General features: G+C 45.0%; 1 protein-coding gene across 13 annotated transcripts in view; it reads left to right on the top strand.

Moving 5' to 3' along the window:
• The window catches only part of CACNA1E (calcium voltage-gated channel subunit alpha1 E), a 490,386-nt gene extending 466,488 nt beyond the window's left edge, over window positions 1-23,898 (top strand). For 9 of the 13 annotated variants that reach the window (XM_017002244.2, XM_017002243.2, XM_017002248.2 and 6 more), the window contains 8 exons: window positions 475-582; window positions 1,132-1,232; window positions 1,527-1,633; window positions 6,259-6,370; window positions 9,479-9,607; window positions 10,678-10,858; window positions 12,482-12,672; window positions 14,106-23,898. In XM_017002244.2, coding sequence (XP_016857733.1) covers window positions 475-582; window positions 1,132-1,232; window positions 1,527-1,633; window positions 6,259-6,370; window positions 9,479-9,607; window positions 10,678-10,858; window positions 12,482-12,672; window positions 14,106-14,648 — 1,472 coding nt within the window. In that variant the 3' untranslated portion in view covers window positions 14,649-23,898. The remainder of the gene's footprint in view (window positions 1-474; window positions 583-1,131; window positions 1,233-1,526; window positions 1,634-6,258; window positions 6,371-9,478; window positions 9,608-10,677; window positions 10,859-12,481; window positions 12,673-14,105) is intronic. The other 4 variants (XM_017002249.2, XM_017002250.2, NM_000721.4 and 1 more) reach the window with 1 other exon arrangement.

Consider the following 26,502-nt stretch of genomic DNA (forward strand, 5'->3'; position numbering starts at 1 on the left):
TGATTTAGGAGAGAACAGGCTTACTACTACTTCCAGGTGGACCTTTAGCCTTTCTGCTTTTGTGCAATCTAAATCCTTTTTAAAATCAGGTCACTCAGACTATGGAGTTAGGGTTGCTGGAGGGATTGATGTATGGATAAGAAGGCAGAGGAACGTACTTGCGGCTATTGTTATTTTCTCCTCTGATGTATTGAGCACCTGGGAGGCTTTTAGAACGAATGAGGAAGTTGCTCTTAGTCTGAGGGCCTCAGATCTCTTGGCAGGATATCCCTGAGTCACTGAAAAAGGGAGCCAAAATGTGTTCTGCTTCTTCAGCAGAAAGACCTGGTATTGCAAGATCCACTGTCACTCAGTGCCAAGATTTCCTCTTAAAATATGAGGTGCCCTGCTGATTCAGCTCCTACCTTCACCTCCTCCCTCAGTCCTGGTTATTTCTGGGTCTATTCTATTTATTAGTAATTTATCTTATTCTAGGTGGTGCAGACAGGCAGCAGCTAGACTCAGAGCTACAAAAGGAGACCCTAGCCATCTGGCCTCACCTATCCCAGAAGATGCTGGATCTGCTTGTGCCCATGCCCAAAGGTTTGGGTCTTCTCCTGGGTATCCTTGTCACTGTGGGCCCAGCATGTGAAGACTACGTCTTTGGGGGGAACCCAGAGTGATCAAAGAGATAAGGAAAGTTTGCCCTTTTCAATTAATAAGGACAAAAGGGACTTAAGGATAAAACATGTTCTTTAAGATAGGTCACTGTGGTTGTGGATGAGACTTCCTGGGTGTATAGCTCTCTCCCTCCATATAATACTGCTCAGCAAACCTTCATGGGAGAAAGGATGTTGTCACTTAGCTATAGAGATTTAGAATGGTAGGCGTGATGCTTACTCATGTACTGCTTATCCTCAGTATCGTCACCATCACTAGGTGGGCATGCAAGCCCCCTGAGGACAGATCAGGGGATCTATGCACTCTGCATCCTCAGATCCTGGCACCATGGGGGCCCTCAATATACATTGGATGAATGGGTGACTGATAGCACAGACCTGTTCCAGAGAGTGGGTAACAAAGCTTAGAGGTTCCTCACTCTCTCCCATTATCTACTCCCTGTTCACCATCATGCCACATTTGTGTTTCTAGCCTCTGACCTGACTGTGGGCAAAATCTATGCAGCAATGATGATCATGGACTACTATAAGCAGAGTAAGGTGAAGAAGCAGAGGCAGCAGCTGGAGGAACAGGTGAAAGTCAATGCCAGCATGCTAAGTGGGTGGGCCATGAGGAGTTGCAGGAGGGAATAGGCCTGTGCCTCCCTGGGGCATAGTGCCCGGCAAGGACTTAGAAGCAGCAGTAATGGGTGCGGGGCCCAAGAACTTTCTAGTGACGTGGAATTAGAAACCCAGTGGATCGAAGGTTAAAATGGTCAAACAAGGGATAAGTTATGTGCCTGTATTATCCATGTTAATTTTATTTTCCCCACAGCAAACTCCGTAGTCATTGGAATTCTTTCCTTCTTCTTCCCTCTTTTTACCCAGAAAAATGCCCCCATGTTCCAGCGCATGGAGCCTTCATCTCTGCCTCAGGAGATCATTGCTAATGCCAAAGCCCTGCCTTACCTCCAGCAGGACCCCGTTTCAGGCCTGTGAGTAGCACCAAAACATCCCTGGCATGGCTGTTTGCAATCTGTCACCCATGCTGTTGTGCAGACCCCAAAACTCACTGCTCAGAAGGGCCCAAGAACAAATACTCTGAGCTTGAGTGATCCTTTTTCTGAAGTTGAATATCTTAAAGTGATTTTCAGCAGGAGTAAGAGAAAAGCAGACTAAGCATACTTAGCACTGTGGTCAACGTCGGTGATCACTTTGAATGAACAATAGAAGAAGGGAGTTTGACTTCTTTTAATATACTTGGGTCTTATAGAGGAGATTATTTTTCTTCACAACAGAACTACAACTAATTCTTGATTATCGCTTCCCCGTGGATCTAGTGTCCTGCTGGAAGATAGAGCCTCCCTCACAGGTGCCATGCTGGCTGAGTGTAAGAGGGGAATAAAACCAGCAGTTACTGCTTTCCCTGAGGTTGACACTTATAGAGACACTATTTGCAGAATCTCACTTGATTCCCACTCTAGCAGCCTACTATACCCTGGAGGTATATATTAATATCACCACTTTACACATGAAGAAACTGGAGACTAACTGAGGTTAACTACGTTGCCTAAAGTCCTGGGTAGTAGAATGTGGAACTGGAATTTAAGTTCCTTATTTCTGACCCCAGAGTGTTTTCACTATACCATGTTTTCTTTAATGAACAAAAGGGACCTTATTCAGAAAGGGAACTTACTTTTTCTATAATAGGAGTAAAAATAAAACACAAATTAAGGAATTTTCCCATCCTTCTGAGTGATAAGCCTTTGCCCCAATTAATCTACTATAGCATATGTATCTCATAACATTATATTTCGATCATCAGCAAGCATTTAGTGCATACCTAAAGAACACAAGTATTTCTACTCAATGTAAATGAGCTTTTGTGATTGGGTTTAACAAAGTCCCAGTTCTTACAAAACCAGGAATCACCAAATCGCTTATGTTAATTACTAAGAGAGTGATACTTAGGGCTTGGGAATGAGACTTCTGTCGGAGTCATTTGGAATTGCTCAGATCATTGATTTCTTTCTGCCTGTGGGGCTGGACTGTTTTTGAAAAGCACTGTTTTCAGAGATCAAAGTCCAACATCTTTGGAAGAGAAGAAAAGGATGAGAGTCATGACCAAGGTCATTTTTTTTTTAAATAATTTGATGTTATGAAGTACAGTGTGTGAATTCTCCTGTCCACAGAAAACAAGTCAGTGTTTATCTTCTGCTTGTGTAGGAGGGAGGGAGGGAAAGAAGTATGATTGGAAGAGTGGGACCTCTTCACTGGAAGGGTTTACACTGTTTTTTGTTTGTTTGTTTTTTTGAGACGGAGTCTCGCTCTGTTGCCCAGGCTGGAGTGCAGTGGCACGATCTCAGCTGACTGCAAACTCCGCCTCCCGGGTTCATGCCATTCTCCTGCCTCAGCCTCCCGAGTAGCTGGGACTACAGGCACCCGCCACTATGCCCAGCTAATTTTTAGTAGAGACGGGGTTTCACCGTGTTAGCCAGGATGGTCTCGATCTCCTGCCCTCATGATCCGCCTGCCTTGGCCTCCCAAAGTGCTGGGATTACAGGCTTGAGTTGTTTTTGTTTTGGCAGTCCTTGGCTTAGAAATGGGGGATACCACCCCCTAAATTGCAATCTCTGTTTATCTACAATTTGCTTTACAAATTAACCCACCACCATAGGATCACTCTGTCTTTTCTCCATGTATTTATTGATCCATTTACTCATTGATTTTTACCAATATTTATTAAGAGCCAATATGTCCCCAGAGCTGACTTAGGCACTGGGGCTATGGCAAAGAACACGTCCCCATGGAGACAAATCTGGAAGAAGAAATTACAAGAGCAATACAGGCAAACGATGCTGAAGGGTGGGCTGTTGTGATGTCATGGAAACAGCTCACTCAGTTTGAGGGTTTAGAGAGTCCTTCCTGAGGAAGTAACATTTGAGTGAGACTTGAAGACAAGCTCTTCAAGAGTGGTAAGAGAAAGTATGGTAAGTTTAAGGAACCTAAAAACTGTCATGATGGTTGGAGCATGGAGAGCTCAGGGGATGTGTTAAGTTATGGATTTGGAGAGATACACAGGGGCTAGTACTTTGGGGGCATTATAAGCAGGATAAAGAAATTGGATTTTGTCTTTGGATAATGGGGTTTTATGCATCAGAATCATGTGATCAGATGTGTGCTTTCTTGAATTCAGTGTAGGCTAAATGGATTGGAGGGAAGCATTTCTAGAGGCAGGAACACCATTTCGTAGGTTACTGCAGTTGTGTAAATTATCAGTGATAGTAGCTTGGACTAGCAGGATAGAGATGGAGACAGATGGTCAGATGTGAGAAATTTGGTAGATAAGACTGGATAGGATTTGGTGATTGATTTGCTACTTGGACTAAAGGGGAAGGAGGAAGCAAAGGATTCTGGGTGAAGCCTTTGGGTGCATGTTGGTACATTTCCTGACATTGGGACACTGGTGGAACAGCAGGCTGGTTCCTCAGAACCATCTGTGTTTCTAGAGCCATGCATTGTTCAGTAGAGGTTGATCTAGGGGTATAGTGGTAGACATAACAGATAGGGTCGCTCCCTCAAATATGGTGGAAAACCAGACATTAAACAGAGGATTATTGGAAAGAAGAAAAGTTGCATTTTCAGTGATTTACTTACAGTTCTGATAAGTGCTAGAAAGAGTTTACAGAGTGGTAGGGGAGTTGGAGAGAAGTGTTCTGCACTCTTAGAGTGGCCTCTACTAAAATCTCGAGGCAGAAACAAGCCTAGCCTATCCAATGAACTAAAAAAGGCCGCCATGTCTGGAGTTCAGGGAGCAAAGGGGAAAGTGGTACAAGAGGAGGCTAGTGACGTAGGGACCAGATCATGAGGGAGGCTGTGTTCAGAATTCTGGACTTTATGCCCCGGCTTGACAAGGTTTTCAAAGTAGGAGATCACTCTGGGTTCCAGTTATTTAACTCTGTGAGATTATTAAGTGATTCCAAGGGTCCTCTCCCTCTAGTGAGGATTCTATAATTATTTACTCTCTGTAGGACAAAAAGGAACCCATTTCTTTCTTTCTGAGACATGATCTCATTCTGTTGCCCAGGCTGGAGTACAGTGGCACAACTGGCTCACTTTAGCCTCGACTTTCTAGGCTCAAGTGAACCTCCTGCCTCAGCCTCCTGTGCAGCTGGGACCACCCCAGGCACGTGCTATCACTGCTGGCTAATTTTTTTTGTAGAGACAGGTCTTGCTTTGTTGCCCAGGTTGGTCTCAGATTCCTGAGCTCAAGCTATCTTCCCGGTTCGGCCTTCCAAAGTGCCGAGAGTACAGGTGTGAAACACAGTGCAAAGCCGAGAACTCACTCATTCTTATACTAGCTGTGCTCAATCTTGTTCCCAGTGGTTCTCAGGAGATGCCACAAGTGGGGAAGATGACTGACATTTAGGCAGGTCATTTAAATACTGTAAAAACTCTGTAGCAGCTGTGAAAACTCAGCAAAAGCTCTCATTGGAAGCAAGGGGACAGATTAGGTGATTCTCTGCTCTTCATATCTTCTCCTGTAATCTAAAAAAACATTCCTATGGATTGTTTTTAAGTAATTGGCAATCCTTGCTCATGCCTTGAGTTTTCCATTGGATGCAGAGTCATCAGCAGTAGACTTAAAAGAGATGGTGTCCCATCTCTCCCTCCTAACTCCGCCACCAAGAGAGCTGCTGCCCAGCCACTGACCCCAGTCCTTCCTCCCATAATCTGGAAGCTCACTCTGCATTCTTGAGCAGGTCAGATGGTAGCTATTACCATACTGGTGGCAGTCAGCCAATAATTTGGCAACAGGCACCTCATTCTCCAGAAAGCTTGGCTGCTTCTTTCTCTCCTAACAAGCCCAGTGGATCCCGTCAGGTTAAGAGTATCTGGAAGTACTAGACAGTGGTTTAATAACAAGCCTACTGTGCCAGTTCTGCATTCTTTTCCCTTGGAGGCCTCTAAACAACTGGGCAGACTTTGTCTCCATCCTCTTTTCTCACCACCATTTAAACCTCTTCCTACATTGCCATCAACCAAGAGGTTTTCAACTCCTCACCACCACCTCTGAAATCCTTCTCAGTTCATGAACCAACAGACTTAATGTATGGTACAAAGTAGTCCTTCAATAAATGGCAATGGAATTGGACTTAATTGTTTAGTTTGGCCAGGGATGTTGGCGAAATAAGACCATATTCTTACTGCGAGTAGGGAAAATTTTTAAAAAGTCCATGGCTGCTTAATATTTAAACAAACTGTTCACTGTGTAAACTAGGGTGTTTTTCCGCCAAATGGGGAAACTGAGCAGAAATAGGTTTACAATCTAGTGTTGCTCTTCCATATGGCTGAATGTGACAAATGATGTCATTTGTCATAGACATGCTAGCCCCCGGCAGAATAATGAATGGTTTCAAAGGCAGGATGCAGGTTGAAAACATCAGTTTCTGTCTCTTCTAGTGCTTTTTTTTTTTTTTTTTAATTTCAGGACTAGCCACATGTAAGTTACTAGGTTTACAAAAGCCAGCCAAGGCTAAAGGGTGTTGCCCTGCTGGGGTGGGAATTGCTAGTGGCATGACTGTCCCTCATTACCTCTGGATTTGACATTGCTTTTCAGGAGTGGCCGGAGTGGATACCCTTCGATGAGTCCACTCTCTCCCCAGGATATATTCCAGTTGGCTTGTATGGACCCCGCCGATGACGGACAGTTCCAAGAACGGCAGTCTCTGGTGAATGCATGAGTTATATGACCTCAAAACTACTTCCTTGGTTTCCTGATCCCTCTCACTAATTTTATTACATAGTCATGGTCCGTCAGGAAAATCCATTCTAGTAGTTTAGCCAGTTGCCCTGGAGGTGTCCTGCCTTAGCCCTTTTCTAGCCCAGTTTCTCATGTGCTCTGACAATGTTCCCTCTTCAGGTTTTACAGTCCCAGAGGTCCCTTCCCTGCAGCAGGAACTTAAATTGCTTTAGGCCAAGCCCTCTTAGTTTATGCCCGAATATCAAGTGTAAGACCGGAAGTCACTTATAAAATCTTGCCTTTGATGGGGAGCTTGAAGATGCATCACCAGAGAATGAGTGACACCAACCCTGCCTCTTAGTGTAGTTAGGTACTGCTTGTGGGACACACAAATGCCCCATGCCATTCCTTAGTGATGCCCACCTCCTCTAGAACCTAGCAGCAGCATGTGCCACAGTGATGAGCTGCCTGCCAGGAGGCACAGAAGACTGTCTTACCTCTGCTCTGTGTGGGTTCAGGCACATTGTCCCTTTTGGTCACAATTCAAAGACATTCTAACAGGCCACTAAAGTCACTTCCCTGACCCCAAAATGAGTTTATTAGCATAAATGGTGAAATTCCTGGCTGGGTGCGGTGGCTCACGCCTGTAATCCCAGTACTTTGGGAGGCCAAGGCGGGCAGATCATGAGGTCAGGAGATCGAGACCATCCTGGGTAACACGGTGAAACCCCGTCTCTACTAAAAATACAAAAAAAATTATCCAGGCTTGGTGGCAGGCACCTGTGGTTCCAGCTACTCAGGAGGCTGAGGCAGGAGAATGGCATGAACCTGGGAGGCGGAGCTTGCAATGAGCCGAGATGGCGCTGCTGCACTCCAGCCTGGGTGACAGAGCAAGACTCCGTCTCAAAAACAAACAAAAAAGCAATTCCTGAGAGACCTATTGAGTCAAGTGAAAGCCTGAAGAAGAGAGGAGAGATTCAAGTTTTGGCTTAGCTAATACAAAGCTAAAATATGGTTCCTAAACATCATTGACTTTACCATTATTCCTAGTTCAGGAGCCATGAGCTCAAGGTCCCCCACCCCGACCTTAGCTTAGAATTGAAGCCCAAGCAGTCACTGGACTGAAGAGAAAAAAAGACAAAACCCAACCATTGCAAAAGTCTGTACAGACAGCTTGTACTAAGTGAGTTCCATATCATTTAAATTCTGATTCATCTGTGGCTCTTCTCTCCCCTTCATTTCTCTCCTGATCCCTCCCCGCTGCTACTGTGTACCTCAGAGCCACCCTGAATGATGTGTGATGGAATGGGCACCCCCACAGAGGGCGAAAAACACTCAGTAGCTCAAACAAATGCGTGCTTCTATCTCCTGCGAGTGCTGAGACAGAGAATCGTGCATGGTTGTGTGGGGGAGACAGTTAGTCCAGACGCCCCCAGGGCTGAGCAATTGACTGCCTGAGGGTGTTCTTGATGAGGCAGGTAGGAACTAGTAGAGTCATTCTCTGCCCTCCCCTCTGAGGAACTTAGCACCAAGACCTGTGGAATAATAAACTATAGATAGTTTGATTCTTAAAAAGACCTCGCAGCATTTTGCCTGCCTGGCGATGTGTCTAGTGGGAAAAAAATCTCAATAATGTGTCCTTTCTTTCACAGGGAGACTTTATGACATCATTTCTGCGGGTTCCCCAGGGCTGAGCCGTAGTGCCAGGACTTTTTGGATATGTGTTCATCTCATTGTCAGTACCAGTGTCTGTAATTCAATTTAGGTGTCAGCCTGTGCTACACACTCAACACTGTGTACTTCTGCCCATCCCTCGGGGCTGCTGCTCCATGTCCCCAGGCGTGGCCATGATTGTGTGTGTGCATATGGAGTGTGTGTCTCACACCACCTCTGATACCTGTAGACTGCAGTGTTGTTACCACGTCTGTCTGGAGTCAGAACTGTGTGCTATACAAAGCATGTACTACAAACAAACACTATAACTCCCTCAAGTGCACCATAGCACATGTCTTGGGAAAGTACCCCTGCCATACACACCAGAAACCGCTCAGCCAAATGGTCACATAGGCTAAGGTGGGGGTCCCAGACACTCTTTCCTTTGGGCAATGCCCTGTTTTTAGGGTGTCATTTCCTAAATATAAAATAGCTTTTTCTGGTACGATCTCCATCTGCCCAAGATGTTCTTAGGTCTTTTTGTTAGGTAGCCCACGTAAACATCTCTCATACAGCTCTTTATGCAATGATACTAGCTATCTGTATAGCGCATGCACAGCTGCCAAACAAGAATGACAGAACCTTAGAGATTTCCAGTCCAACCTGATAACACTGTAGGCTGGCACAGTCCAAAACAATAGCTCTTAGCCACATGTGGCTAGTCCAAATAAAATATAAACTATCTAATTTTTATATTGATTACATGTTGACATGCTACTATTTGGATATATTCAGCTAAATTAAATGTTATTAAATTTCACCTTTTACAACATGGTTAACAACATGGTTACTTGGACATTTAAAATTCTGCAAGTGGCTTGCATCATCCTTCCATGGGACTGTGTCACTCAGGGCATCCCTGACAGCCACCCACCACATCTTTGGATGGTTTCAATCAGAAGAAAACTCTTAACGTCACGTGTCTTAAGGCTTGAGAAGACGTATTTGACATCAGAAATTGTTGACTTCCCTTAGAAAACTGGTTTCTATTTAATTGATAAAAGGCTTCTTCAGATTAAAAGAATAAATCCAATGCTATCACTTCTTAGAAAGCGAACTTCACATATCTGAAAAGTATTATACCAAACAGTGTTTGTTGCAGAAAACAATAAAATCTGAATCATTGCTTAGTGATGAAAAAGAGGAATCTACACCAGAAAAATAGGTGACCTTCAGCACTCAATCCCAGCTAGAGCTTCCTGTCCGGAACATATAGCACATAGGTGCACATAAACACACACACACATATACATACAACTGAGACCTTAAAGCTGCAAGTCTCTCTTTTGAAAGCCATTCTTGAGGAGGCTGAATTGTCCACTGGACGTGAGAAGCAATGAGATGGAACCAAGTCCCACAAGCTTGGCTGTGTGTTTATTTCCAGGAGCCAGAGGTTAGTGAATTAAAAAGCGTGCAGCCCTCTAACCATGGCATCTACCTTCCTTCGGACACCCAGGAGCATGCGGGATCTGGGAGGGCATCTTCTATGCCACGTCTGACTGTGGATCCCCAGGTAAAAAGCAACCACCTACATTAATGCAGTGGCATCCGGGCTGTATTAGCTGGGTTATGGAATAATATCTGATATTTGCAGGTGAGCCGTTGACTTGCCCGCACCCCTTCCCTATAAATAAAACCTGGCTCATGGGTCGTCTCTAATAGAGCCTGCTTCTCCGGTGTTTTCAATGACCCCCCCTAACCACAACAGCCCAGCGAACAAAATTGCATACTTCACTCCGGACGGGTTAAACATTCTCAAGATTCAACCAGCCATGCAAGAAATATTTTCCAGGATTTTCTCTGTGTACTTCTCCATCCTTTTTTTGTTTCCTGACTCCTCCAGCACATATGCAGTTACTTACACACACAGGTCTGTGTCAGGACTGTCTGTCCTAACCAGTGCAGGCCACATCTCATTTCTTTGTCTGTTTTCCTGGCTTCTTTTTCCTGTCTGTCGGTCTTACATCAGGTTTTGACAGAGACAAGAAGTTTTTGTAGATTTGTTTTAATATCTGTGGCAAATCAAAATGCCAGAATTTAAAACGGGGCTAGGTGGGATTGATGGCAGCAGAGGGAGAGTGATACATTCTTAGCACTTGTTAAATTGCAAGCTCTCCTAGGCTCTAGTGCTGCAGGGCAGGGCCTTCTCTGGCAAGGGCGTTTAAAAAAAAAAAAGCAAAGCCATGCTTCTTTCATGAATGGGGTGGCCTCTTAGACAATTGCCCTCACATGTTTCAAAGCAGCACAGTATTTGCTGCAGCCTGGCTGCGCCCCATGGTAGAGGGCTCTATGGGAGCTTGCACAGTTCCTGCCTGCATTCCGCATGGCTTTGCCTTGGTACACTCAGCTACAGAAGAAAAGATCCTGGACCATTTCCAGTGACTATATTAACATAATGTAAGGATGCTTTCTTGAACAGTTTCCACCAGCTAAGGTTTGAGCAAGAGAGATTCAAGGGAAGTTACCATTTCCAGGGGTTACAATTTGCCTTCCTTAACGTCTCAGTCTTGCTGCTTCTGTCCTTTTAGATCTTTTCAATCGTTAATCCATACCTTGTGTTTCTCTGGGGGCTTGTATTTCCAGGTGGTGACAGACCCTAGCTCCATGAGACGTTCATTTTCCACTATTCGGGATAAGCGTTCAAATTCCTCGTGGTTGGAGGAATTCTCCATGGAGCGAAGCAGTGAAAATACCTACAAGTCCCGTCGCCGGAGTTACCACTCCTCCTTGCGGCTGTCAGCCCACCGCCTGAACTCTGATTCAGGTGAGGAGGTCTTCAGTGTCCAGCTCTTTCATCAGGCAGTGGGCTCCTGCCCTGATGCACTTACTCTCCAAGGACTGTAGATAACCAGAAAAGAATTCAGAGACAAGGGCTGAAGAAAGTGAAGGATGCTCCTTACCAAAGGGAATTCCTGTATCTGACTTACATCCTGAAACAGGCCAAAGCCCTCCTCTGTGTTCACCGGAAAAGCTGTTGCAATCCCTTCCTTCTGGAGCAGGGCTATACAAATCATTAGAATTGAGGGAGCTTTTCAAATAGCCTTCTACAAAACCACTGGGGCTTTTTAGGATTGTATTAGAGACCCACTGTAAGGACTGAACTTTAACCACCAGTTCCACTTCAACCTAAACAGTGCTACCTGGAGTTATTTCCTGTGTTTGAATTTTTTTTTTTTTTGAGACAGAGTTTCACTCTGCAGCACAGGCTAGAGTGCAGTGGTGTGATCTCGGCTCACTGCAAGCTCTGCCTCCCGGGTTCACACCATTCTCCTGCCTCAGCCTCCTGAATAGCTGGGACTACAGGCGCCCGCCACCGTGCCCGGCTAATTTTTTGTATTTTTAGTAGAGACGGGGTTTCACCATGTTAGCCAGGATGGTCTCAATCTCCTGACCTCATGATCCGCCCGCGTAGGCCTCCCAAAGTGCTGGGATTACAGGCGTGAGCCGCTGCACCTGGCCTGAATTTCTTTTAAGCTTTTTGCTTTAAATATATATATATATATATATTAGTCTGGCTCAACTATTTTGTTTTATTGGATAAAGGAATCAAAGTTGAAAAAGCAGTGACTTGTCCCATGTCATAGGGCCATTAAGTGGCAGAACTGGGACTAGCACTGGGATCCTTTCATTTCAATCCTGGACTTCTCACCATAGCATTATGTTAGGTGTGTTATTATTTAGTTCATAGAAATTTCTTAATTCCCTTCTGCTGGTGCCACCTTCCCCCCAAAAAGTTATGCAGCCATATTTATGATAGAGTTCCTGAGCCATATTGTTAACCAAGATCCTATATTGTGTGTAGCATAAATAGAAACAGAATAGATTGCATTGTTTGACATATGTGTCTCTAGTGGCACCTTGCAAACTTACCTGCTTACAAAATAGGTAATTTGCTAGCCTGCCTTTCTCCCCTGCTTCCCTTTCAGATCATCTTTTGACATACCTGGAGAAGCCAGGATTCTTTTAGGGGCCTATCTTTTTTCAGGCTGCTACAACAAATTACCACAGACTGGGTAGATTCAATAACATGTATTTGTCATGGTTCTGTAGGCTGGGAAATCCAAGACCAAGGTACCAGCAGATCCCTGTCTTCTTTCTATTCTCACATGATGGAGAGCAGAGAGACAGGAAGCAAGCACTCTCAGGCCTCTTCTTATCAGGGCACTAATCTCATCATGGAGGCCCCACCCTCATGCCCTGCCTCCTAATACCATACCATCAGGAACAAATTAGGCCTCAACATTTGAATTTGGGGGGGGACACAAACATGTGGTTCCTCTGAGGGCCCAACCCCAGGCTGTGATGTGATACTTGGAGAGAAGTCCCTTCATCATCATTGGTCAGAGTGGACAGAGTTATAACCAAGTGCTTTTGTCACCTCTCACAGGCCACAAGTCTGACACTCACCGCTCAGGGGGCAGGGAGCGGGGACGATCAAAAGAGCGAAAGCATCTTCTCTCTCCTGATGTCTCCCGCTGCAATTCAGAAGAGCGAGGGACCCAGGCTGACTGGGAGTCCCCAGAGCGCCGTCAATCCAGGTCACCCAGTGAGGGCAGGTCACAGACGCCCAACAGACAGGTGAGCGCAGAGAGGAAGCCAGTCTACAGCAGAAGGACAGGGGAGGGTGGGCTGTATCATTAGATGCAAGTCGTGAGCATTTCGCAAACGCATTCAAGTACCCACAAAGACTGGAATTTCACAGGAAGCTATACCTATAGTGCATAGAGGTTAGCTGCTCAATGCTTGTGTACTCAGAGATGATCTGAATTCACAGAAAACCAGATTTCCCCCAAAAAGATGGTGTCTAGAGGTCATTCCATTCCAGCCTTCAGAAACCAGAGATATAAATAGGTTGACAGCCAGATTTTGGAGGAGAGGATGGTCCTTTAGCCAGAAAGTTTCCTTTGGCCATCTTGTGATCCTCAGTATTTGTGAGAATTGTGATTCATCTCTCAGCCCAGGATTCACAAGTCAGAGCAGTTCACCCTCATTTACCTAGCTTGCAGCCGTCCCAGCAAGATCATGCCTTTTGCTGAACCACCAGCTTGGTGCCTAAGGAATAACTATCAGATCTGTATGAAAACATTCATAGACTCTGTTTTACTCCTTACTACAGCCCTATCTCTAGTCATGGCATTTTGACCCATAATAGGAGACCCCCTCAACAGAAACGATCAGCGGAGAAAAGGCAGGGCTGCTAATGCAAACCTTTAGAGACACAGCAGTCGAGAGGTTTCCCTTCTAGAACAACAGTTTTCAAATTTTAGTGCAGAACAGCATTAACCCATGAGGTTTACTAGCACTGCACATTCCTGGTGCCTGAAGGACCCAGGAGTCTGCCTTTGAAAAGACCCCTCTGTAGGATTCTCAGCAGGAGGTTCGTAGGTCACACATACCTTAAGAAATGCTCTCCTGGAGGTTTACTTCCCAAAACCTGGGCTCAGTTTCCCTTGGGAATAGGTGAGGGCAAGTATGGCCTGAGCCAACAACTGAGTGTATCAGGTACAGAAGCTGAGTTCAGCAAACCACAGAAGACATGGGCAGGAATAAGGGTTTCCCAGCCAGAGCAACTCCAGCATTTGTTCACCTTCCACAGAGTTGTCTTTCTCAAGTTTAAAGTCTCTCTTTTAGTGTGCCCCTTGTTACATATGTAGAGCTTCCTTAGTAGTCCAAGTGCTTGTTCCACAGACCTGCCACCCCTAGCATCACCTGGAAGCTTGTTAGAAATGCAAAATCTCAGTCCTTGCCCCAGATCTTCTGAGCCTGCATCTGCAGTTTAACCAGATCCCCAGAGGTTTGTATGCACAAAGTCTGAGATGTCCTGGTCTAAATGTTCTTGACTCCTTAATCTCTTCAATCCCTTTTTCCCTGAGTGGATGTGAATACTACAGGGAGCTCCAGCTCAGGCCTCTCCCTGACAGAATTCAGATTCCAAGGACTCTCTTAACAGAGTTGCAAGTAGGGATCATGCCAAGCCCAATCTAACATGCCATGTCTCTCCTGCTATACAGGGCACAGGTTCCCTAAGTGAGAGCTCCATCCCCTCTGTCTCTGACACCAGCACCCCAAGAAGAAGTCGTCGGCAGCTCCCACCCGTCCCGCCAAAGCCCCGGCCCCTCCTTTCCTACAGCTCCCTGATTCGACACGCGGGCAGCATCTCTCCACCTGCTGATGGAAGCGAGGAGGGCTCCCCGCTGACCTCCCAAGCTCTGGAGAGCAACAATGCTTGCCTGACCGAGTCTTCCAACTCTCCGCACCCCCAGCAGAGCCAACATGCCTCCCCACAGCGCTACATCTCCGAGCCCTACTTGGCCCTGCACGAAGACTCCCACGCCTCAGACTGTGGTGAGGAGGAGACGCTCACTTTCGAAGCAGCCGTGGCTACTAGCCTGGGCCGTTCCAACACCATCGGCTCAGCCCCACCCCTGCGGCATAGCTGGCAGATGCCCAACGGGCACTATCGGCGGCGGAGGCGCGGGGGGCCTGGGCCAGGCATGATGTGTGGGGCTGTCAACAACCTGCTAAGTGACACGGAAGAAGATGACAAATGCTAGAGGCTGCTCCCCCCTCCGATGCATGCTCTTCTCTCACATGGAGAAAACCAAGACAGAATTGGGAAGCCAGTGCGGCCCGGGGGGGAGGAAGAGGGAAAAGGAAGATGGAAGGACACCATGCATTATCAGAGAAGAGGAAGTAAAGGACAATCAGAACACCAGTCAAACCCACCAAATTGCTTTATTCCCCTTTGCAAGATGGGCACTGCCATAGTTCTGCCTCTTTGCTGGGGAAAGAAACCAGGAACGTGGAGGGTTATTACTGCGGGAGAAGGGACACGAGGATGGCTTTGCTTCCCCTTGCCCCTTCCCACTTTTCTAAAAGCTGTGGAGGGATCTAGCTGGCCTATGTCTACACTCAGTGCCCTGAGAAGCCTGGAAGACTTTCTGGCTCTTAACTGGGGAGTAGTGGAGACCATAGGAGAGGACTCTCCTCCCTCACCAGCTCTTACGCCTCAGCCAGCACCACTGCCACCAGGGCAACTGCAGCAGCATCTCATGCATAACCCTGTGGCTTGCTTCCCCCAGGGCAGCACAGGCTAAGTCAGGAACATCGGATGCCAGGGAGGGAGGAGAAAGCCGAAGCGAAAGGGGTCAGGGTGCTGAGGCAACAGCAGCAAGGGCTGGTCTGGACAAGAAAAGCCATAGCCCGGCAGCCCCTACCATGAGGGAGACAGAGAAACAGAACTGGTGGTGCTGGGGGGTATAGCCCCCCATCCTTGAGGCCTGTCACCCACACAGTAGGTGCTGAGAGTTAGGACAGGTCAGGAAGTCCCCCAGGGTCCACAAAGGTGCCTGAGGCTCTGGTAAGGGTGAAGATAAAAGTATTTAACAACCGCTATGGCATCAATGTAAGTGGAGTTTGGTCCTAGTGCCGGAGCCCATGCTATTCCAGGCATTGGCTCTTTAGATGCCAGTCATGGGGGAACCCTGAGGGTGTGGGTAGAGTAGCAGGGGCCACCTAAGAGATTAAAAACAGTCTGTTTTCCAACCAGTGTGGAAGCAATTAAATATGCGTAACAGTGCTACGGCCACACCAGCACCTCCTGGCTGAAGGTCAGCCCACACTCTGGTCCATGAGGCAGCAAGGCCAGTGCTGTGCCAAGCCCGGTAAGGCCAAGTGCCGAGGCCCAGCCTTCCCTGCCACTCCTCTGAGAGGGCAGAACACACATATCCAAGTAGGCTACCCACCACTGGGTAGGGATTTCTGTAAAGATGGGAAAGGCTGATAGATTGAAATAAGCTTCTGTGAAAGTCTGGATTTACTGAGGACCTCCCCTGAGGAGGGACCGTTGGGACCGCAGATTCTGCAGCTGGTGTGGGGTTCAGGTCAGTTTGTCAGGATGCTTTAAGGTGATTAGTAAATATACCTCAGCTTAGACTTGGGCTGCTCCTTCTAGCAAAGCAGGCTCCAGTGGGGCCTCATCATACAGGATGACAAGACTGGGGCCCTGTTCACCTTGAACATGCCCCTGGGCCAAGATGGGGCTTCACCCCTCCCCAGAGTAAGAGCTGGGGCTGACAGTCCCACCCTGTCATTCCTAATAGCCCAAACGCAGAAGCACTGAGCAAGAGAGCCCTTTCTTGCCAAGCCAGTGCTCTTTTGGTATATGGCATACAGCTCCATTGGAGGGGACACATCACTGGCTTTATCTGGTGGAAATGTACCTTTCCCTTAAGTTCCTCCTTAGTGCCATCACAGCAGGTGAATGGGTGCCCTACGGGGCCCTCCTTCCCCCACCAGGAACAGATGGAACCTGCCACCCAGGATCCTGATCTGCCCTGCACTGAGCACTCAGTGGATAAACACTCCTCCAGCCCAGACACACTCCTCCTCTTGGGCAGGAGCAATCCAGAGTTGTTATTTTTCTTAGAAGGAGCCTCTTTTCCCTCTATTTTTTAAATTGAAATATAATAGCTGCATCAGCCCTGAAAAGCCAAATTCAACCACATGGCTGGAGAATCATTTGTCATGGCCCCGCCTTCTCTTCTGATACTAATGGAGCTTCATGACCCACGGTCAGCCCCCAAACCAAAGTTGTCCCAACAGAGGAGGCCAGTGAGGCAGAGACAGAGCTCTCCCACTCTCAGACCCTCTTTTGTCTTCATTTTCCTCTCCCACTTAGCACATGTGTGCTTGAGGGTGGCTGGGAATGTGATATACAGCACCCTGATCCTAACAGGTGTGATTGTTACGTAAGACGCTGATACTGGGCCTTGTATTGCTTTTAAAGTTTCCTCTGCTCAGCATCATTTCATGCCAAAGTGCTGCTATGGGCTGCTTTGTGTGCACAAAATTGCTTTTTCCACCTCGGAAATGCAGCTTTCCCTAGGGGGAGGCCTACAACAGGACGACCATTCTGAGCCAGTGAGTCTATTGCATGGTGTTTTGAGAAAGGGAATTTTAGTGACACCTTATGCCATTTCAAGAGGAGAAATGCAGGCTGGCAGAGCAATTTCCAGAAATGGAATTTGCCTGCAAATAGTATAAACAACACTAAATTTACTGTGCCAGGAAATCTTCCTGAACTCCTTGAACTCATACACACAGGTATTTGAGTCCTGAATAAAGTGTTGGAAAGCACTGCAGATGCGGTCACCTGACTGACCACCTGGGTTTTCTATTACCAGTGAATTTCTTTTATTCACCTTCCCTTGACCAAGAAATTGGGTTTCTTTTCCCTCAGCCTGCACTTACTCTTCTATTAAGACCAGAAAATAAAATAATTTTCCGTTGAGTCACAAACTCATCATCTTGTTTGGTGTTCTGCTGCCTCTGAACAAAAGTGAATGCCAGCCTTCCCTTGCTGGGTGTCAGAGTCTGCCTCCCTTGAAAAGAGGCCCCTGTAGACCCCAACACCTATTCTTTTCTCTGGTTAATTACAGCAGCATCTGAGAAATTCCATGCAAAAGAAGACTACAACCAGTGTTTCAGATATACCACAAGATCAAATTTGGGCACTGGTGGTCCACCTCAGAAGACTCTTGAGTCATATATTCAGTTTCTCTTGCTAATATATGACTCGTCTTCACCATCTCCTCAAAACAAGAGCAAAGCCAAGATAGAGGAAGGTAAAAGGAGGAGGAAAGGAAACCAAGGCAGGGAGATGTTCTAAGTAGGTTTGCATTTAGTTACCCCTCATTTCACTTAAGGCTCCAGACAGACTCCAGGTAGGGAATGCATGCTGTCTCTTTCTCTGTGTCTGTCTCCCCATCTCCTAGAGGACAGAGTGCCAGCGACCTCTGGACAGGGGCAGGGCTCCAGCCAAGGTGCCCCTGAGCCAGGGTCAACATAGAATTTCCTGCCCCGTGAAGGGCTGGCACCAGCTAGCATCCCCTTGGCTCCACATGAGTCATGAACACAATTGTCAGTGGGGGTCTCTGCTGCTCTTCTGGCTGAAGAATCTGTTTTTCTTCTGGGCTTCACTTGTAGTTCCTATTCAATGTCTCCATAGGGCACTGAGATCACCAAGAACATTACCCAGAAGCTGAAGTCCAAATGTTCTAGATTTTGACCTCTCTTGACTCTGGGGCCACAAAGAGAAGGCCCCATAATCCACCTCTCAGCCAGTATCTCCCTTCTTTGCACAGATTCCTCCCAACCCCATAGAGCCTATGTGGTGAGCATGAGGGTCGTCTTCCCTCTGTTCTCCCATCCCAGCCTCTGTTTTGCTGCATGTTAGCGCTGATCCAGCTCCTGAGATGGTTAATTCCACCCAATCCAAGCTTATTTGCTTGCCTGACTGACTCCACCACTCTCTCAGCTATGGGGGAATATTGCATTCTAATGAAATAGGGTTTGGAACTCACCTGGTGCTCCTCGCAAGACAACTGACACAAGGTGTAGGGTGTGGGGGTGGACAAAATGCCCACCTACTGGATAAAAGCTCACTGCAGGAAAATGAGGTCTCCTGGCATAATGCAACAAAAATCTCATATAATTTTGATTTTTAAAAAGTTGTTCTCAATTTTTCATTACATCCTACTTCTCAGCCCTCTGGATGTTTCATTTTTTTGGACAAAGTGTTTCTTTAGTGGTTGGGGCCAGGGACAGGTTGAGGGATATTTCTCGGCTCATTTATAAGATATAAATATTATGAGGTTGTATGTAAAGAAAGGGCAAACGTACAGCAGAAGGGGAGCAAATAGCTACCTTTCAAGGATTTTGAGATTTGAAGGTTAAGGAATTTTTACTGCTATTTTTGTTCATCAGTTTCATGTCTGTTATGTTTTGAGATCCTCAGAGGCCTAGGGTTAGCGTATACCAAGAATCCTGGTGAGAGGCGTTGCCATGCCTTGGGGTGAATTCTTCCCCACTAGCTCTCTCACCCAGCCTACAAGTCCTTCTCTCATAGATCCCAGAGCAATGGGCACCGTCCAGGAGGTACAGGAGAGGACTTTATGATGCAGGAAAGAAGGAAGAAGTGGGTCCCTTGCAAGTGGCCAGACAGGGAATGATGGTTTGACTCCAGAAATCAGGAATCAGGTTCAGGTTTGGATAACTTCTCTTTAAAATATCTCCACATTGAGACTCTTATTTTAACAAAATCCAAACAAAATTAACTCAGGGCTTGTGACCTAACCTTTGTAAGAAGGTGATCAAAGAGATCCTACATTAATAAGCACTGCCTGTAGCACCAGCTTTGTCTTTTTGTCTTTTGTTGTTTCTTTCCTGAACCACCCTGTACATCATAGCCAGGTCTACCCCAAATAGAGCAGCAGCTGATGGCTTCTCTGCTGTCTGTGGAGGGAGGGCTCGGCTGCAGACCTATGGTGTTTTGTCAGCTGTTAGGTGCTACAGCCCACCCAGTCAGAGTACATAGACATAGCGCTTTAAGGGACAAAGGACAAACAGAACTATCTTTGCTTTCCGGAGGCCATCTTTTTCTTTCCTTGAATCCTTTCTGCTTTAAACTTCTGAGGTTTATGCATCCCAGAGAGGTCACACCAAGCCAAAGAGAAAAAATTCATAGATTGTCCCAGCCTACCCAAAGGGCCTGAAAAGCCTCTCTAAACAAAACTCAAGATAGCTGAGAAGTATGAATGGGGTTCACAGCAAAGTCCAATTGATGGCTTTTGAGGCTGGGACACCCCCAAACTGCCCTTCTGTTTTTGTAGTTTTGCTTTCTTCCACCCACCCTCTCTCCGCATGCTGTAAGTTAGGGGAGTTAGTATCTTGAACTTCTAAATGCAAAAGGAGATTTTATAATAAGCCATGCTACCTGTAAATACATTATTGAGGTTTGCATTTTTATTTTTGGAGGTATGAAAGAGTTGAGTAGACCAAGTCAAAAGAGGTGTGGGGATTTATGTTTATTTTTATTTGTTTGGGGTTGTTTGGTTGGTGGCTGGGTTTCTTGTAACAGACCTATTCTGGAATAGCAAAGAAGGATACCTTGGTGATCTGCAATGTTTCTGAATCTGTTTCTCTTTAGGAAGTGATTGCCATCAAATTTAGTGATATGATATTTGAGTCAAAAATCTGAGGTTATAGTACCAGCTGTCTTTTCTCTCTGGTCTCCTTTTTGTCGTCTTTCTCTTTCTGTCTAAATTGGCCTCTGTCTTTTCCTAAGGACTTAAAATATAACCCAAATTAATGAAGAACTGCCCCAAAACTTCAGTGAAAGCCAAGGAGGTACAGAATTTTTTCAGGACATCTTTAACCAATACAAAATTTATGTCTTAAGAAGATAATTTTTACAATAGTGTAGTAATCTGATAAATGAAAACTATTGGAAGTCAATAGTTTTTTATATTCCAGCTTTCTGTATTCAAACTTGTGCCTTCAGCAAGCATCTCTTCACTTTCTTTCCCTTGTCAATTGAAACATGAATGTTTGGCTAACTCATGATGTAAAGTGTCTGTTAAGTTAATAATACATAATTTAAAGCACTTAGTCTCCACAAAGCAATTTAGAAAAATCTTCACTTGTTAGATCCCATGAAGTACCTATGAAATTCTCAGCATTGCTATAAGCATTTGATTTTTTTTAAGGAAACTTCCTGTTTAATGGAATCTGAATCCAAGATTTGCTTTAATTTCACTCTATTCTTCCCATTTTCCCTTATTCTTCTTGTTGTCTCTCTAATTAAAAAAAAAAAAAACCTAGGCTTTTTTTTTTCTATCCAGAAAGTTGGGTTTTCATGATCTGAGCTTCCTTATGTCTCCTTCTCTTTGTGCAAACTTAAACCAGTCATAGATTGTCACCCAGACATATTCTCCAACCCAGCATTGGAAATCTGAACGAATCTTTTCTCTTTTTGTCCTACAAGTTTGTCAGAGATGAGAATGGATTGCTGTCTACATTCTACAACCAGACCCTAGACTTTATACCAGGCTGTGCCACTTCCTCTTCACTTCACTCAGAGGATGGCCCCAAAACTGAAAAGGAAATGAAATAATCAAATATACCAAATCCGAATTTGACTTTATTTGATGACTCAATATTTTCCTTCCAGTACTCTAATTTTTTTTTATGGCAATGGCCTATATGGCACAAGAACCACCACTTAAAGCAAATCTGTTGAACATTTTTATAAGGGATGAGCAAGAAAAACACACTCCAAAATTTTAAAGTGCCATTAATCAATTTTTAAGAATAAAGGTAATATGAAATGAGGGCTAAACAATGTAATATAACTGCCAGTTAAGGTAGACAGTAGTTGTGGTCTTAGTTACATTTGATATGGAGTTGTGTAATATTAAGCAGATCCCAGTGGAGTTAGTAAAAACATAGGTATTGAGTTTTAATGGCTACCAATTGGGATATATACTTAGCCTGCAGGCTGAACTTTAGTCAGTGTTTTTCTATCATGTTGTTTTGTGAACAAGTCAAAATTTATACAAAGCTACCCTAAGTGCTGCAATTGCAGAGGAACTTGCCTCTTCGTGATATTAGAGGGCAGTCCAACTCCGCTCAAACTGAGTCCAAGATTTGAATTCATCCAGAAAAACAAATGGAGGAGAAAAGCCTAATGCACCACATGTGTTTGGCATTTCATGGCTGGGACAATGGAGTAGAGGGTAGGAAGACAAGCTGTAGAACAAAAGCAAAGTGAGGTAGAAAGTAACAGGTCCCAGACGAGGACAGACTTAGAGATGTGTAACCTTGGATCCTCTTTTTCACTTAGAATATGGGTAAACTTCTTAGCACAAGACTGGATTAAGAGAAGTTCTTTCTGTTAAACTCACCTAGGGTAGTGGCTTTGAAGGCCTCAGAGGATTAATAGATTCCCAAAATTTTCTTCCAGACCTGGGAGATGGAGAGAAAGAGGTTCTTGCTTTAAAGCGGCTCGAAGACAATCTTTATGACTTCAGCAACTCTTCAACATAGTAGCACCAATAAAGGAGAGATTATGTTAACTTCCTAGTGGTGAGAATACCATGGGATGGGAGAAGGGCCAGTGAGTGGGATGGGAATGAGCTTCATCAGGAACAGATTTCAGACTCTGCAGGGTGCACCGGTTCTAGCCTCAAATAACAACATTGCAAGGAGGTGGACTACAGGGTCCACACCCTCTGTCCTTCGGGGCCCATGGTCAGGCCATTCCCTCTTTGTTTTGCTCCTAGAGGATGAGCATGTAAGATGAGATCAGGAGGGAAATTGGGTGCTCTGCCTCAGGCTGTTAAAATGCTGCTACCTGCATTCTAAAACGTGCAAGTCATGCCCCACAAGACACCTCCTTAGGGCAGCATCCACTGTGGTGTGCCAGCCTGACACCCCTGCAGTCACGGTGTTTGAATGGCAGCTGATGCTGGCCCACCCAGAGTATCGGTGCATCTCTCCTAAAGCCACAGTTCAGCACTGCATGTTGACCAGGCGGATATCCTATAATATAGATGCTCGTTTGGATCCAAAAGGAAAACCATTAAAAATAAAAGAAAGATGAAAAACTTTAATGTTTTGGGGGGGATAAAAGAAAAGAATAAATAAAACCTTGTTGTAAAGAATGCATCGGCCTGATTTCCCTCACTTGATGTGTTTCTTTGCTGCTACCAGAAAGGGAAATCATGGGAGTGAAGCCTGCCAGGACCCTCAGGGTAAGCTGGCAGCAGGCTCTGCAGCTGCACTTAGTTGGGGTCTGCTCAGACCAGTCAGGAGGAATTCAGGAGGCTTTCAAAGTCCCAAGGACATCCTGGCTCTGAAAGGTTTTCTTTTGTTAAAAAATGCACTTTGTGCTGTGTGTGGTAGCTCGTATGTGTTACCCCAGCTATTCAGGAAGCTAGGGCAGAAGGATTGCTTGAGGCTAGGAATTCAAGACTGGCCTGGATGACAGAGTGAAACCCTCATCTCTTAAAAAAAAAAAAAAGGAATAAAAATGTTCTCTGCCTTGGATAACATTTTTTTTTAAAGATTCCATACAAACTCATTCCCTGAAAGAGAAAAACAGATTTTCTAATCAGGACATTGTCCTGATCTGCAAGCGAGGAGTTTAACAAGGTAGGCAGAGAACTTCCTTATGGAACAACAGGGCTCTGTGACCAGAAAAACTATGACCAGCCTCCTCTGAAAAAAGGTGGGGGGATTATAGGGCACCAGCTCAGCCGCCAAGTTCAGGAAGCAGCTGATTCCCAAGACTCTTAGGAGATACTGTCCATTCTTCCTCCTGTCCACATCACTCCCCATTTAACTGCAATTGCTCCCTTGCCACAGGGAAAGCAGCAAGCCCCAGGCCCAGGCCTCCATTTGATTTGCCACTCCGAGAACTGTCTGCTTCATTCTGCTTGAGGAGATATCTTCACCTAATCCTAGTGTTAATTATTTTAATCTGAGCAACGCTTTTATCAATTAGATAGAAACCAGCATTCCAAAATAAGTCCCCTAAGTTTGTAGTTTGAGCCAAGATATTTTCTTGAGCCCTAAGATATATGACTTTATTAGCTAGGATTTTTCTTATGATTAAAAACATCCAAAAATGTGATATGTGGTCATCTCTCAGGGAGGTCTAGGTCCTTGCAGGCTGGATTTTAGAAATTTCTAAGATTCTCTACAACTTTTAAATTTTATGTTATTTTTCAATCATAATTTCTTTCCTGTGGCTTCTATCACCATTGGAGTTAGAATCTGACAACCTTTAACTTCACACTTTTATGAGATAATAAGTTGGTTTCTTGGGCAAAGGTTGGTTTGTAAGCCATTTACATGGATTGATGATTTCTGTTCTTGTTTTCTTCTAACCTAGAACTCAGGTCCACAGTTTTCCACAGGCTAATGGCACTATGAAACAGATATAAAGAAAAATAGACACTGTTCTGAGTTTCTCTTGAGTGTTTTTGTGCTATGATCTGATCATCTATTGGTTACCTTTACACATTACATTCCTAAATCTTCTATCCTGCCTCTGGGATATTAGAAACTTGTCTTTACTTGTGTATCACATTACTTTGCTAATGAGCTGGGAAAATTCCCAAACTAAAGACCCGGATTTCAGTTTTTAAAATATTTAATCACAAAATATTGGGACTAGTCACAGGCACACATAGCCCGGGAACTCCTTAAACACCTGCAACAAAAAGAAAAGAATAGAGGCTACAAATGCAAGCGCTGGAATAGAACCAACTGAGGTCCAACCTGTGCACCACCAGTTACATGCTGTGAGGCCCTGCGTTGGCCACTTAACCTAAAACTCACTTTCTTCACCTTTAAAATGGGAACAATAATAGCAACAACCCCGTAGGGTGGTTAGGCAGAGTGACCAAATTATTGTGTATGAAGAGAATAGCCCGTGTCTGTCCACAATAGGCATCTGATAAATGTCAGGTCTCACCATCGTTGTCGTCATTAGCACCACATACAAGTGCATTCCCCAAACCCACCACATCTGAGAAACTGAATCTTTCAGGGCCACATGCTGAGAATACACTGGTGGGTGCTCCCCTTCTGTTAATGAAACACAGAGGACGAGTTGATCCTTAGGCAAGTTTCTAAGGAAAGGGGGATACATTTAAAAAGCAAACCATTACTATGTAGCTATTTTAAAATAATGCTGCCACTCTTGCATCAGAAACAAGTCATAATTTTGTTTATTCTTCATTTCTCATTTCCATATTCGTTTAATAACAAAATGGGAGAAACATTAGTGGGAGATAGTAATTGTAAAAGTAGCAATAAAGTTAATGGCAACATTAAAAATACTGTACACCTATAAACACGGCAATATTCAAGGCAATTTGAAATATCAAGTAACTCACAAATTGATGACACATGTAAGTGAACCATACATTTAGGGTCAGTGGCCTGTTAGTCCATTAGAAAAAAGGAAAAATAATAATAATTCTGTTTAAAGACCATTCCTAAGTGGTCAATAAAGAATGATTAGTTCATAAAACATCAACTCTGGACATAAATAAATTGAGAAACCCTTTCCAGGAGATCGCCAGGGGAACATTCAGGATACCAGAAGGCAAAACAATGTAAGACTGAAGCCAAGCACTATAAATCCATCCAGAAAGAGGGCTCCCATGCCTCGGGGCACTGCTTCCAGATCCCCATCCTCTGCTTCTGCAGGCAAAATCATGGGTGTGTTTAAAATCAACAATAATAACTATAGCCTTCATCTGCTGATCTAAATGATTCTACAACACACAGGAATCATAGAGCCCAGAACGTTGGCTTAAGGGAGAGCCTAGGTATTGATTCTGCCAGAGTCTATTTCATATATGAGGGATCTGACATTTGGAAAAACTCTAAAATGGGTTTTCCAGAGGCCAAGAAAGTATCCTGTGAACCTGGACTGCCATATTAGGCTCCTGAGGGTAGCCTCAGCAACCCTAGCACAACCGTCCAAAAAAGAAGGAAAAAATAACTGAAACACACCCCAGGAGCCTTCTTTTGCTCATGTGTCCAGAAGACTCCTTTGGGAACCTAATGGAAGCTGTGTATCCTCTCCCTTGAAAAGGGTACCAAAAAATCTGAGTGTTTACATCCTCCAGTCCCAACCTGAGCCTGTTTATAACCCCTGCAACAGTAGCAGGTGGTATCATGGAAAGACCAGGCATAAATGAGCTATTTTCATCAAAGTAATTCAAAGAGCGAGCTATGACAGTTGGATCAAACTATTCAGGCCTGGAAATAGAGGACGGAATCCAGGCTGATTTCCTGCCATGTTGGAAATACTGCTTGCCTCTGTGACCAGATCAGATGGCTTGACAATGATGGGAATACAGTGTGGCTATCTGGGAGGTGGGGTGGAAGAGAAAAGGGCAACTTATATAAATATAGCTCAGTAAATACACTGGCATAAGGCATTAGGTAGACCTGGGTACAAATTCTAGCTATGCATTTAACAGTGACCCCAGCCAGGTTACTTAGCTTGTAACCCTGGACTTCCTTAACTGTATAATTAGGATAACAAGACTAACCTTGCATAGTTGTATTTAGGATTAGGGATTACACACATACACACACACACACACACAGAGAGAGAAAGAGAGAGAGAGAGCGCCCAGCATGGTGTCTATCACATAGCTGGTATGCAATAAAACATGACTGCTATTATTGTTGTTCACTCATTCATTGAATGTATTTATTAACCATTTACTATGGTGCCAAGCACTAGGGTTTTAATAAGCAAGCCAGATGAAGCAGTGTCCTTAAGTTGTTCACAGCCTAATGGAAGCTACAGATAAGAAAACAAACCACTGCACCATGGTGTAATCTTTGTGAGGGTGAGGAATTTTCAGGGTACTATGGAAGCCCCTAAAACAACTTGGGGAGTCAGAAATGGCTTCCAGGGAGAACTGCTATTTGAGACAAAACCTAAAGAATAACAAGGGTTGGCTGGGCCATAAGGATGGGGCGAAGATGTCAGGTAGAGGTGCAGGAGGAGGTATCTTGCTCTAGTTCAAGAGCAGA

This window comes from Homo sapiens, chromosome 1 (genome assembly GCF_000001405.40).
Source record: "Homo sapiens chromosome 1, GRCh38.p14 Primary Assembly".
Lineage (NCBI taxonomy): Eukaryota > Metazoa > Chordata > Mammalia > Primates > Hominidae > Homo > Homo sapiens.